The sequence below is a fragment of the Homo sapiens genome, chromosome 10 (assembly GCF_000001405.40).
Source record: "Homo sapiens chromosome 10, GRCh38.p14 Primary Assembly".
Taxonomy (NCBI): Eukaryota; Metazoa; Chordata; class Mammalia; order Primates; family Hominidae; genus Homo; species Homo sapiens.
The window spans coordinates 108,806,451-108,820,585 of record NC_000010.11 but is presented as its reverse complement, the minus strand read 5'-3'; the positions used below and the strand labels follow the sequence as shown (position 1 = coordinate 108,820,585).

At 38.3% G+C, this 14,135-nt stretch overlaps 1 long non-coding RNA gene across 1 annotated transcript in view, besides 2 other annotated features; it reads right to left on the bottom strand.

Moving 5' to 3' along the window:
* The window catches only part of LINC02661 (long intergenic non-protein coding RNA 2661), a 132,148-nt gene that overhangs the window by 20,101 nt on the left and 97,912 nt on the right, over positions 1 to 14,135 (bottom strand). The gene's annotated exons all lie outside the window — the stretch shown is intronic.
* Positions 10,534 to 10,703: an enhancer, noted in NCBI's record as "experimental_9792 CRE fragment used in MPRA reporter constructs". NCBI's record gives its function as "activates a minimal promoter by MPRAs in K562 erythroleukemia cells, with activity observed for both the introgressed and non-introgressed 10:110569726 or rs117608798 variant alleles {active_cell/tissue: K562}" and the evidence as "EXISTENCE:reporter gene assay evidence [ECO:0000049][PMID:34662402]".
* Position 10,618: a transcriptional cis regulatory region, noted in NCBI's record as "Neanderthal adaptively introgressed variant 10:110569726 (GRCh37/hg19 assembly coordinates) or rs117608798 in the experimental_9792 CRE". NCBI's record gives its function as "modulates activity of the experimental_9792 enhancer by MPRAs in K562 erythroleukemia cells {active_cell/tissue: K562}" and the evidence as "EXISTENCE:reporter gene assay evidence [ECO:0000049][PMID:34662402]".

Sequence of the window (14,135 nt, the reverse complement as noted above, 5' to 3'; positions counted from 1 at the left end):
TGGCCATTTCATCCAAGTATATGATTTTGTTTCCTCCCCTTTTATCATGATGCTTAAAATTTCAAGAGAATTCTGTTAATACTATTTGGCTTTAACCCTATTTTATTTTCATAATCTCTCATTTACTTCTTAAATATAAAAATAATTATGAAAGCTCTTATAATGGAAGGCATTTAATTACCTGTGCTTTATGCTGCCATCATCATTGTGGTCAGGAGAAATAGTGAAAATATGTGGTAGAAGGCAGGCATATTTCACTTAAAGTAGTGTAAAGCATAGGATAACAAAACATTCTGGTTTTTCACAAACATTTTGTCCTTGCTCACAAAGAGATGTCAAAAGCCAAGGTGGAGTCCATGAAGAAAATTATATTTCCTAAATAAAACTTTGTTTTTAAAATGCTGACCACTGTCATGTTTTGTGAAGTGACTGCTAATTATATTTTTGCTTTAGTCTAACAACAAGGCATTAATTTTTGCAGGATTTTAGTAAATTTTGTGCATTGCTAAATCAATAATTTATTAAAGAAAACTGCATTTTTCTTTAGTTTTCTAAGTATGATAATGTGTGTTGCTTAAGTTTGAAATAAAGCCCATAAGCTTGAATTTCTTAATATACAAAAATAATTTGATCAAAAATGAGATGAGCTTTTGCTTCGCATTTAGACTTATAGGTAAATAAATTCTTTTTGTAGAAATGGATCCCTCATTTGGGAAGAAAATGTAATATTGACTTAAATGAGAAAGTAAAAAATGTGGGGAATCACTTGATTCCCCACATTTTTTGATTGGTGTATTTGAGGGTTGATTCTGATTTTATAGACTGTGGTTCCTAAGGGACAAGTAGTGTCAACATTATTTATCATGGTGAAGACTTTTTCTTCATTGTTTCCTATGGCTTATTTGGACAGCTCAGTCATTACTGTTGATGAACAGTGATCTGCAGAATTTGATTTAGTGAATTAATTTGGACCATGATATTAATAGGGTTATAAAGATGTCCTTTTCTTAACTTGAAACACCTACTATCAGGATTTATTATACAAATTATACACATAATTCAGGACACAGGAGAGTTCTCATGGCAGAAGAATCAGTTCTACTCAGTTAAGCATTTTCTTCTGTGCTATCTTGGAGTGGCTCCTTGTACATACACAGGTAAAACTTTGTCTTCCAAACTGAACTGAAAATTGCTACAGTCCAGAGACAATGATGCCACTAGATGCCTTAATTTAGCTTCTGTTAATATTTTTTAAAGAATGACACCCTTGGACGTGTCTGGGGAATAAATACCCTCTATTAGTCGGTGTTCTTCAGAGAAAATAAAACAGGATCCAAATCTATATGCCCCCACCCAGACACACACACAATATAGATTATAAAAGGAGATTTATTATGGGAATTGGCTCATGTGATTATGGAAGCTAAGTTGTCCCATGATATGCCATCTCTGAGCTGGAAAACTAGGAAATCTGGTGGCATAATTTTGTCCAAGTTTAAAGGCCTAAGAACCGGGAAAGCTGATGTTGTAACTTTTCGCCCAAGGCTAAAGGCCTGAGAACCCAAAGCAGAGGTGGAGAGATTGTGTGTTCAAAGACAGGATAAGAAGGATGTCCCATCTCGAGAGGGGAGAGAGAGATAGAGAGTCACCCTTCCTCCACCTTTTGGTTCTATGTGGGCCATGAATGGGTTGGACTGGATGATGCCAGCCTGCATTAGGAAGGCAGATGGCCCTGACTCAGGTTTACCAATTCAAATGCTAGTATTTTCTGGAAATACCATCATAGACACACATAGAAATAATGTTTTCATGAGCTATTTGACATCCCTTAACATAGTGAATTTGACACATAAAATTAACCATAACACTGTCTTTTATACTGCTAAATCAAACAAAATATTTTACGTTTGGCCTGAAGATTTCTCTGTACATTGTGAGCTATAACCTAAGGGAGTTGTAAACGGACTGTAGCCTACTCTTGTACCAGTCAGTGACTTTTGGCCAATGAAAGGTGGCCAATTGTTGAAACTGTGTTCAAATAAGTCAGAGTCAAGCTGTAACCAATTCGGCTGTTTCTGTACCTCACTTCTGTCTTCTATCTGTCACTATTCTTTCTCTGTCCATAAATCCTTTTCCACCATGTTGCTCCGCTGGAGTCTCTGAGGCTACTATGGCTCTGGAAGCTGCCTGATTCACAAATTATTCTTTGCTCAATTAAAGTCTGTTAAATTCAGTTCAGCTAGGATTTTCCTTTTAAAAATACTCTGCCTTTTGACTAAAAGGGCACTCTAGATTATGGTATCTGAATTAGGCATGTGGCCTACATATAATTGCTCTGTGCATGTCCCATGTGAATTAATTTAAATGAGTAACTTGAAATTTGAGACTTGGAGTAAAATAATAGCAAAGAAGGTATTTTAGCTACTTCATTACGTAGTGGGGTAGTGGAGTATGCTGAAAGGGAGAGACACAGCTTATCTTTCTTCCTTTTTACTTATCCTCTTCCTTCCTTTTTTAAAAAAGAGAAGCTTTTAATATTTCCTAAATGTAGTACATAATTCTGTGCTAGAAACTGAAGATACAGTAATGATAAATTGTCTGCCACAAGATAAGTTAGGAAAAGATAGACATGAAGTCACTTATATGCAACAAAGGCATAGAGAATAACTCTAAGGCATCTGACTTTGTGACTTAGGTGATGGTATCATCAACTGAAGTTGAGAACAAAAGGGTTTGGAAGTTAAATTGTTTTGTGACATGTCAGATATTTAGCCAGAAAGTTGTGGTTTGGCTTGCTCCAATTCTTCATGTCTGGTTGCCATTCAGAGTCAACTGGCATCTGTTCTGATTAGTTAAAACGTACGATGCTCTGGCTATGAAATGTTTTGAATGCTAACCCTGACCTAGTACTATAAATTGGATTTGAAATGGGTAAAATGTGAGATGTCCACTGAATATAGAAGTCTAGAAGTCCAGGGATAACTTGTAGAAGAAGCCAAAACATGCCACTCCAAAATGTACTTCTGTGGCATATTTTGATATGGCTCTTGGAAGGGGCTGCAGACACAGGAACAGCTCTGAAAAACTGTCACTATGTGGAAGAAATTTGCATCTGTAAACAGAATCTACATTAGTGAGGTAAACAGCAGATGCAGAGGCTTTCTAGATCTTTCTTTCTAGAGAAGATTGATTCGCGGGAAAAGGAGATAAAAAGTCTGACGCTTTTGAAGTTCTGGCAGAGGAACTATTAGCACAGGCTTCTATCCATTCCTCCAGAGAGCTGCTATCTCAGAGATTTCATCTGCATAAAAAGACAGCCTTTGTGTGCCAAGCCTTTTCTCCTGCCTCCCTGTCATAACCTGTCACCATGCTCTAAGCTTCTATTTCTTTCTGTATTATATGAAGACTTAAATCATCTGACCCTAATTTAAGTCTCATATTAACTGGACTCCCATGTGCATATGCATGCTAATAAATTTGTATGCCTTTTCTCCTGTTAATTTATCTATTGCCATTTCATTTCAGCAGACTTAGACTCCTACCTTAAGATGGAAAGTTTGAACTTCCCTACCCCTGAAGATAATATTCTGGAGGTTGAAATGTAACTCAGGACTTACCTGACCTGAGAAGTTTAGGTTTTATAGTCATTAATAGGTTGTGTTTGGTGCCATTGTTGTGGATACAGGAGATATGTCACATGTTTTTGAGAAGAGGAGATCTCCTCATATTTTACCACCTCCACTTTCTAATTTTCATTGGGTCTGCTCTTTGAGGCACCTTGACCTTCAATCCCACTAGCTTCCCCAGCCTTCATTAAATTCATTTGTTCCAACCTGAACACTGCGGGTTGCCATTTCAGTTATGTGATTAGATTTCCCTCGGAATCAGTTTCCCTGGCTACATCCTAAACTTTGCCTTTATCTCTCCATCTTATTCTTAATTAACAACACTCTTCTTTGCTACAAGAGTGACTGTAGGCTCTTCTCCTAAATCCCTGGCTCAACAGATCCTAGAATTCCTATTAATCTATTAATTTGATCCCCCAAGAGCTTTACATTCCATCTCCTCAGTTCTTTTGCCCATACTTTATATACCTTAGTGTGGCTCCTTACCAAAGCCCATGTGGATTACTGACACTCTCTCTAGATGACTACTTTGCCATCATTCTCATACCATTTTCCAGTCACCATGTAGCTACATAGTGGTCTTTCTAAAATACTAATGGAATCATGTTTTCCACTTGATTAAAATCCTTTGAAAAATTCCCATCTCCTTCATAAGGTCTTATTTATTTGTATGTCAAATCCTGCATGCCTATCCAGCCTCATCTCTTAAAACATACATGTTGACATACTATGCCCCGGCTATGCCAAGCTACATGAAAATGCCATAACTTAACAAGGTTTACTCAGGCATTCACCCCTGTATGCCTGTACTCACGTAGCGCCCTTTGCAGGAAATCCCTACTCTCTATTGCCTGAGAATACTGCTATTGTACCATTTAGTCTATGTATTATCATTGCAGATTTACTTTTCTAGTAGGTACTCTAAATCCCTATTCATTTTCTTAACACCATTTTGTATATATTTATGGGGTACAATGTGATGTTTCGATATGTGTATACATTGTGGGATGATTAAATCAAGCTAACTAACATATTTTGGTATATGATTCATCCCAAATTTATTTTTGTGTGCAGTGTAAGATATAAATCAAGGTTTTTATTTTTTTAATGAATATTCAGTTATTTCAGCATCATATGTAAAAACGCTTTTTTTCACAACTCAATATATTACCTTGATAAATATTTTGATGTCCAGTAGTATAATTCCTAGAAATCTAGTCTTCTGTTTTCCAGTTTGCTTTTTAAAATGCTCCTGGAATTGCTTGTGTATTTCCATAGATATTTTAGAAACAATTTGTCAATTTCTACAAAAATTCCTGCTGAGACTATAATTAGATTTATGTTAAATCTATGTAATTATATAATTATTTTTTGAAAAGTGCATTGACCTCCCAAACACAAAGCCTTTTTAGTTTGAATTTTGCTTACCTTTCCTGCACTGGGCTCTTGTAAATCTTGATCAATTACATTATTTTGTACTTCCACATCTCTGATTTTTATTTTCATTCATGTCTTTCATTCTTTGCCTTTCGTTTTTGTCTATGACAACTTGGGGTTCTCTCCTATAACTGAATTTCCAAATTAACATGGAGTTCGAGATTGAAAATGACCAACTTTCTGTCTGGTTTGTGTTACTATAACAGAATATCTGAGACTGACAATTTATAAAGAAAAAAGGCTTATTTAGCTCACAGTTTTGCAGTCTGGAACATTCAAGAACATGGCACCGGCATCTTCTCAGATTCTGGTGAGGGCTTTCATGCTGTGTCACAACATGGCAGAAGATCAAAGGAAAAGGAGATATGTGTGAAGAGGCTAAACCCAAGGTGTGTGTGGCTTTATGATAACCCACTCTCTCAGGAACTAGTCCATTCCTGTGAGAGTCAATGCAGTTTCACCAGAGCAGAAACTCACTACTGTAGGAATAGCATCAAGCCACCCAAGAGGTCAGAGCCCTCATGACCCAAACACCTCTCATTAGGTCGCACTTCCTTTTTTTTTTTTTGAGATGGAGTCTCGCTCTGTTGCCCAGGCTGGAGTGCAGTGGCACATTCTCGGCTCACTGCAAGCTCCGTCTCCCAGGTTCATGCCATTCTCCTGCCTCAGCCTCCTGAGTAGCTGGGGCTACAGGTGCCCACCACCATGTCTGGCTAATTTTTTTTTTTTTTTAAGCAGAGATGGGGTTTCATCATGTTAGCCAGGATGGTCTTGATCTCCTGACCTTGTGATCCACCCACCTCGGCTTCCCAATGTGCTGGGATTACAGGCGTGAGCCACCGCACCCGGTCCAGTCACACTTCTTAAAGTTTCCACCTCTCAACATTGCTGCCCTGGGAATTAAGCTTTCAAAATGAGTTTTGATGGGGAAAAAATCACATTTAAACCTTAGCATTATTCCCCGTGCCCTCAAAACACATGTGCTTTTCACATACAAAATATAATAATTCCATACCAATAGTTCCAAAGTCTTAACTCAAAAGACAAAACCAACTCAAAAGACAAAAACAACTCAAAAAAAAAAACCAACTCAAAACACAAAAGTCAAAAAGTCAAAATCTCATCTTATACTCAAAGCAAGTTCCTTTCAGTTAAAGTCAAAACAAATGATATATTTCTAAGATATAATTGTGGAACAGAATTTGGTAAACACTTTCTTCCCAAAAGGGAGAAATAAGGCAAAAGAAAGGAAAGCCATACTCCACAGAAGTCAAAAATGCAGCAGGGCTGACATTAAATCTTAAAGCTCCAAAATAATCTCCTTTGACTTCATGTCCTGCATCTGGGCACGCTGTTGCTAGGGGTGGTCTCCCAAGGAATCCCTGCCCCATGGCTTTGTTGGATGCAACCCATGTGACTATTCTCACAAGTTGGAGTTGGTTGCCTGTGGCTTTTTCAGGCTGTTCTTGGGTCTCAGTAGTGACCTTGCCACTGCAGCTTTACTAGGTATTGCCCTTGAGATGACTTTCTCCGTTGGCACTACTCCTGAACAAGTCTCTGCCAGGGTTGCAGGCTTTTCCATACATCCTTTAAAATCTTGGTGGAGAAAGTCAGGCCTACCTAGCTTTTGCATTCTCAGGCCTTCGGACTTAATACCATGTGGCAGCCACCAATGCTTACCACTGGCAATCTCTGGATTATCAACGTGAGTTGCAAATGGGGTCATTTGAACCATGGCTGCTCTAGAAGCAACTGCCAGATAAGGGAGCAGCTGTGTCCTAGTCCTCTTTCTTAAAACCATTCTGTAGTCCGGCTGGGCATGGTGGCTCACACCTGTAATCCCAGCACTTTGGGAGGCCGAGGCGGGTGGATCATGAGGTCAGGAGATCGAGACCATCGTGGCTAACACGGTGAAACCCCGTCTCTACTAAAAATACAAAAAAGTAGCCGGACATGGTGGTGGGCACCTGTAGTCCCAGGTACTCGGGAGGCTGAGGCGGGAGAATGGGGTGAATCAAGGAGGCAGAGCTTGCAGTGAGCCAAGATCCTGCCACTGCACTCCAGCCTGGGCAACAGAGCGAGACTCTGTCTCAAAAAAATAAACAAAACAAAACAAGAAAACATTCTCTAGTCCTAGGCCTCAGGGTTTGTGGTAGGAAGGGTGGCCTTGAAAATCTTTGAAACACCTTAGGAGCCTTTTCCCCATTGTTCTGACCGTTAGCACTTGCCTCTGTCTTAGCTATGCTAATCATTTTAGCAAAGAGTCTCTCAGCTATACTCTTGAATTCCTCTCCTGAAAAATCATTTCTCATTCTCTATCACATGGCCATGCTACGAATTCTCCAAATTTTATGCTTCACTTTTCTTTTAATTACAAATTCTGCCTTTAGCAATTCCTTTGCTCCTATAACTGGGCATGACCTATTAAAAGTAACCACATTGCTTCTTGAGCACTTTGCTGCTTAGAAATTTCTTCTGCCAGATATACTAGTTCACGCATATGTTTTGACTTCCATAAAGCCCTGGAGCATAGATACAGTTCCACCAAGCTTTGAACTACTTTATAAAAAGGGTGGCCTTCATTCCAGGTCCCAATATCTTGCTTCCCATTCTCCTCTGAGACCTCTTCAGAATGACCTTTACTGTTGATATTTCAGTCAGAATTTTGGTCGTGAACACTCAACAAATCTCTTAGAAGTTCCAATCTTTTTCTCATCTTTTTGAAACCAACCCAGTTTCCCTATAGAACTGATGTTTATGGTTGTGTTTGAATAAGTACAGAAATTGACCTTCCCAGTTTTAAAACTGGAAACTTGCATTGGACTTACCTGATTTCCTTTCTCAGGAAACTGAACCTCAGGCCTCACAGTATCAAGAAACTGAAGCTTACCAGATTACCACATCCAGAAAATGAAACACCAGATCCCTCATTTGTTATGATTGCTTCCTTACTCCTCTCTAATTCCTGTTTTCCCACACATAGTTGTATTTCTCCCCCACTACATTAACCCACAATTTTAGATGGTTGGGGAGATAGATTTGAAATTTATGTCCTGTCTCCCCAGCCGACATTACTCATCCCCTTTCTTCCCTGGCCATACTGATTGTCTCAGTGATCAGCTTTCTGTGCATCTAGCAACAAAACCTAGACTGAACCTCTGGCATTTCAGTAACATTTTTGTCTTATTCTGAGCCTTCATCACAATCACATTTAATGCTTCCTTCATTGCAGTACAAGTTTTTTCTCCCCTGGTCTTCCAAACTCTTCTAACTTCTGCCCATTGCTCAGTTCCAAAGCCACTTCCACATTTTCAGGTATCTACAAAGAAACACCCAACTTCTTGGTACCATTTTTCTGTCTTAGTCTGTTTTGTATTGCTATAAAAGAATGCCTGAGGCTGGGTAATTTTTTAAAAAATAGCTTTATTTACTCCACAGTTTCTCAGGCTGGAAAGTTCAAGAAGAATGCCACCAGCATTTTCTTGGCTTCCACTAAAGACTTTTGTGCTACATCACAACATGTCAGAAGGTCAAAGGAAAAGCAGACATGTATGAAGAGGCTAAACCAAAGAGGCATCCTTGGCTTTTTAATGAACCATTCTCCTGGAAATTAATCCATTCCTATGAGAACTGATAGAGTGTCACCAGAGCAGGAACTCACTCACTATTACAAAAAAGGTCCCAAGCCACCCATGAGATCAGAGCCCTTATGGCCCAAATATTTCCCATTAGGCCTCTGTGATGGTTAATATTAAGTGTCAACTTGATTGGATTGAGAGATGCCTAGATGATAGATGAAGCATTGTTCTGGGTGTGTCTGTGAGGGTGTTACCAGAGGAGACTGACATTTCAATTGGTAGACTAGGAGAGGAAGACCCACCCTCAGTGTGGATGGGCACCATCCAATTGGCTGCCAGCACAGCTAGAACAAAGCAGGTGGAAGAAGGTGGGATAACCTTGCCTGCTGAGTCTTCTGGCTTCTTTCCTTTTTCCATGCTGAATGCTTCCACCCTCTCTTCCTGCCTTTGGACATCAGACTCCAAATTCTTCAGCCTTTGGAGTCTTGGACTTGTACCAGTGCCTTGCTGAGGGTTCTCAGGCCTTTGGCCACACACTGAAGGCTGCACTGTCAGCTTCCCTGGTTTTGAGCCTTTCAGGGTCAAACTGAGCGAGTACCAGCTTCTCTCTTCCCTGACTTGCAGACGTACTATCGTGGGACTTCATCTTATAATTGTGTGAGCCAGTTCTCCCTAATAAACTCCCTTTCACATATACATATATCCTATTGGTTTTGTCCCTCTGGAGAACCCTGAATAATCTAGCCTCACTTCTTAAAGGTTGTACCTTCTAGAATTGCTGCACTAAAAATTAAAGTTGCCACATGAGTTATGGTAAAGACAAACCATATTCAAATCATAGCACTGGCTGGGTGTAGTGGCTCATGTAATCCCAATACTTTAGGAAGCAAAGGCAGGAAGATCACTTGAGGCCAGGAATTCGAGACCAGCCTGGACAACAAACCAAGACTGTCTCTACAAATATAAATATATATATTTAAACAAAGAAAAAAGTTGTAGCACTTGTTAACACTTCAAATTTAAATTTTTGAGATCCCTATATCCCATCAATTGCAGATTTTGATATATCTTACCTCATCATTTTCTTTCAGATTTATATCTGCAGTTTTATTCCCACTTAACTCTCTCTAGATACATGATCACCACACTTCTCAACTTCTGACTTCTTATTTTAACTTTGTCCTTGCTGCCAGATCAATTTCTATAGGGAACTCTCTCACCATGTCACCCCTTTGAGTACCATCCTTTGATGACTCCCATTACTTGCCTATAGAAAACACAAATTCTGAGTTTCAAGTAGCAACAAAACTAACACTTGTATAATCTTATTTAATCTTCATGGGAATTGTATCACTATTTTAAATTTACAAATATGGAGATTAAGATTTGTAAATGCTAAGTAGTTTTCCAATGTTACAGTCAGTGACAGATATTCTTATCCATTCTAATAATGACATTACTATACTCTGTTTTAAGGCCAGAATCATAAAATGGCTGATGCCCACAGTAGAAAAAATACATAAATATATTATATGGAACTTCTGTAATATACTGTGAAATATGATAATTAGTAGGTGAAGAAAGACTTTTTTTTCTTTTTTAGATAATGAAAAATACCTTGAAATTTAAATTCATTATCTTTCAGTAGCCTCCTTGATTTCAACAAAGACAAAAGAGTTCAAACTAACAGTGCAAGAGTAGGGAGAGTAAGCAACATAAATGTATACATAGCTCATGAATAATCAATAAATTCAGTGTTCTTTTTACTGATCTTATAGCTTTTTTTCCAATTCAGTGTATTTAAGAAGATTTATAAAAGTATCAAGCAGTGCCTTTTCTCAGAAATATATATTTTGTAGTCCAAGTACAAAGATTTAAACTTTTCTCCTGTGTTCCTTAGTTCATTCTAAATGTGATTAGCCAGAACTGAAAGAAGCAGCAGGAGTCGTTAAGACATTGTAGGCTGATATGCTTAGATGAGCCTATGCTATCTAAATATAACATTCATAGAGTTGGGCTCCAAAAATACAAAATGAATTGCTCTTTCAGAATAAGCCACTTCAAGTAAGAGTCAGAAGTTTCTTTTCTTATAAGTAACAAGAGAAATGAAAAGAAATAAAATTAGCTAAAAGTTTAAACATTGAAACAGAGCAACATCACAGTTTTTGAAAAAGGATCTATCCTTTGTGAGCAGGAAGAATCCAAAATTCAAGTAGGAAAAGGACTCAAGAATAGAAATAAGACCTTGTTTGTAAGAAAGGAACAGGGAGATCTGTGCTCTCTCAGACTATGATACTTTCTTTCTCTAACAGAGAAAGATCAGTCTTGAAACTTGAAATGTAGAGACAATTGTGCAATGCATAATTTGTCAGAATTTGTAAGTGATGAAAAATGGAAAATAACCAGGTGGCAATGAATAGGATAGGCGATTGTACTTAATTCTGAGCACTGGTTATTCGGTGGGTGGATTCAAAGTGCCTTAGAAGTAAGGAACTTCATTCAGAAAAAGAGAATGAGTTTCCAGTATCATTTACAAATGGCTTTGAGTGGCCCACAGAGGAGGCGTTATGTAAGAGTATCGTAGTACTGGACTCACCATAACAATTGTGAAGTTTGAAAGCATTGAGGGGGGAAATGATTTTTCTAAAGAGTAGTTTATAATACATAGGAAAAATTTTACTTTCTCCCAGGGCTTTCCTCAGATCAGTAATTTATAACTTCCTAGGAGAAATATTTTTTCCCTCCTATAGTCATGCATCAAGAAAGATTTCTGTCATTACCACAAATGGGTGATACAACTTCTCAGAGGGTCTGTAGAAAAAGGCCAAGGCTAGTTGTGGCATATAAAAGTTGAAGATTGAAGTTCTGGTAGAGTTTTCTGTCGTGTTCTCTCTGAAGTCCTGTTGGATATTGTTACATTCCCCACTAGACAGCTTTGGAAATGGTAGTAATAGTAGTAGCATTTAGTTGATCTTAAATCCCTCTAAAATGTCCATTATAATTTAATGCTTAGCTTGTGCTTGAATGATTTCGATATGGAAAACTCACTCCCCCTGGAGTAGGATGCTCATCTTTCATCTGGACAATTTTGGTTACTGAACAAATGGCTTATATCAAACCAAAAGCAATCTCCTATGACTCCTTATGACTCCTTAGTCTTAGCTCCTTTTGACTCCCACTATTAGCTCCACCTAGTAGAAGGGGTCAAAAAAGATAAATTGAAGTATTTTGACAGATTGATTTATAGAGACCTGCTACATCTTCTCCCTAATTTTTCACTAATCTTTCAATATGTAGTCTAAAAATATCTACTTTCTTTAATAACATCTTTAATGGTATGTGTGGTATTGTAGAGTATACATTTGGTCTTCCTTCCTGGTTTCATTTCCTGGCATACAACTCCTAAAATCCTTGGAATCCAAAATGTTGTCTTTTTTTCTGCTAATGTTGACTGATAGTTTTAGCGCAGACTGGTCACCAGAAAAACAAATGCAAGATTACAGAGTTGGACTTTCAGCTGCATGTCCCAACTGCCAGAAAGTGGAGAGGGGCTGAAGGTCAAGTGGATCTCTGATAGCCAATGGTTTAATCAATCATGCCTACATAATGAAGCTTTAATAAAAACCCAAGAGGACGGGGTTCAGAGAGATTTTGAACAACTGAACACATGGAGATCCCTACAGGGTGGGGCAGCTGGGGAAGGCATGGAAGTTTCATGCCCCTTTCCCTTACCTTGCTCTATGCATCTCTTCATCTGTATCCTTTATAATAAACTGGTAAATGTAAGTAAGTGATTCCTTGAGTTCTGTGAGCTGCTCCAGCAAATTAATCAAACCCAAAGCAGGTAGCATGGAAACCCCGATTTGACGTCAGTCAGGCAGAAGTTCCAGAGGTCCATACTTGTTAATAGTATCTGATGTTGGGGGAGGTATTCATGGGGACTGAGTCCTCAACCTGTGGGGTCTAACACTGACCCCAGCTAGACAACAACAGAATTGGATTGGGGTATACCCAGATGGTTTCCACTACAGAATTGATTGCTTGCTATGGGAAAAAAAAAACACCACATATTTTGGGGTCACAGAAGTCTTCTGTGTTGCTTGTTTTTGGGTCGGTGTAAGAGCAGAGGAAAAATACAGCTTGAATAGTTTTTTTCCTAAACAGAATGTCATTAAATTTCTTTACCATTTTTTTTGTCATAATCTAAACCCCCTGAGATGTCATTTCTTCTTGCGATACAGCAGTATAACTCATACTTTATGCTATTTTGTTTCTTGACTTCCCTGAAGTTTCTTAAAACTATTCTAATTTGCAATAGAAATTCTTTCTTTGAACATCAAAAAGTCTAGTGTAAACCTATATAAGTCTAGTGTAAACCTATATAAGTCTTGTGATATCTAGATATTAAGAGTAATTAATGCCAACTCTCATAAAATACAAAAAAAAAAAATCAGTACCTTTACACACTAGGAGTTAAATGTTCACTCATTCAAAATCCTATGTAGAAGTTACTGATAGGGGCTGGGCATGGTGGCTTGTGTCCCAGCACTTTGGGAGGCCGAGGCAGGCAGATTACCTGAGGTAAGGAGTTCAAGACCAGCCTGGCAAACATGGTGAAACCCCACCTGTACTAAAAAAAAAAATACAAAAATTAGCCAGGCATGGTGGTGCATGCCTGTAGCCCCAGCTACTTGGGAAGCTGAGGCAGAAAAATTACTTGAACCTGGTAGGTGGAGTTTGCAGGTATCCGAGATCGCATCAGTGCACTCCACCTGGGTGACAGAGTGAGATGCCACCTTAAAAAAAAAAGTTACTTATTGGGTACTTCTTCTGGGAATCACGTCTCCATTAAGTTACTAAGGGATTCAGGCTCTTTCTAGCCTGTGTCACTGCCCTTCCTCATCACAGAGCTTCTATTGCTATGATAATAGGCAGAAAACAGGACATGGGAGGATTTTTTCCATGTTTTAAATTAGCGCATTATAGTTGTACATATGTTGGGGATCATGTTATGTTTTATATATGCATGCAATGTGTAATGATCCAATCAGGGTAATCAGAATATCCATTACCTCAAACACTCTTCTTTATGTTAGGAATATTCAAATTCTTAGTTATTTTGAAATATACAATAAATTATTAACTATAGTCTCCCTACTGAACTATCAAATACTAGACCTCATTTCTTGTGTCTAACTGAGTATTTTTGTACTCATTAATCAATTTCTATTTATCTTTTCCTTTCCTCTATCCTTCTCAGCCTCTGGTAACCAACAATCTACTCTTTATCTCCATGAGATCCATGTTTCTTTGCTCCTATATATAAGAGAGACCATAAGTTACTTGTCTGTTTGGCCTTGCATATTTCATTTAACATAATGACCTCTGTTTCCATACATGTTTCTGCAAACGACAGGATTTCATTCTTTTTGTGGCTGAATGGTATTTCATTGTGTATATGTACCAAATTTTCTTTAGTCATCCATTCACAAAC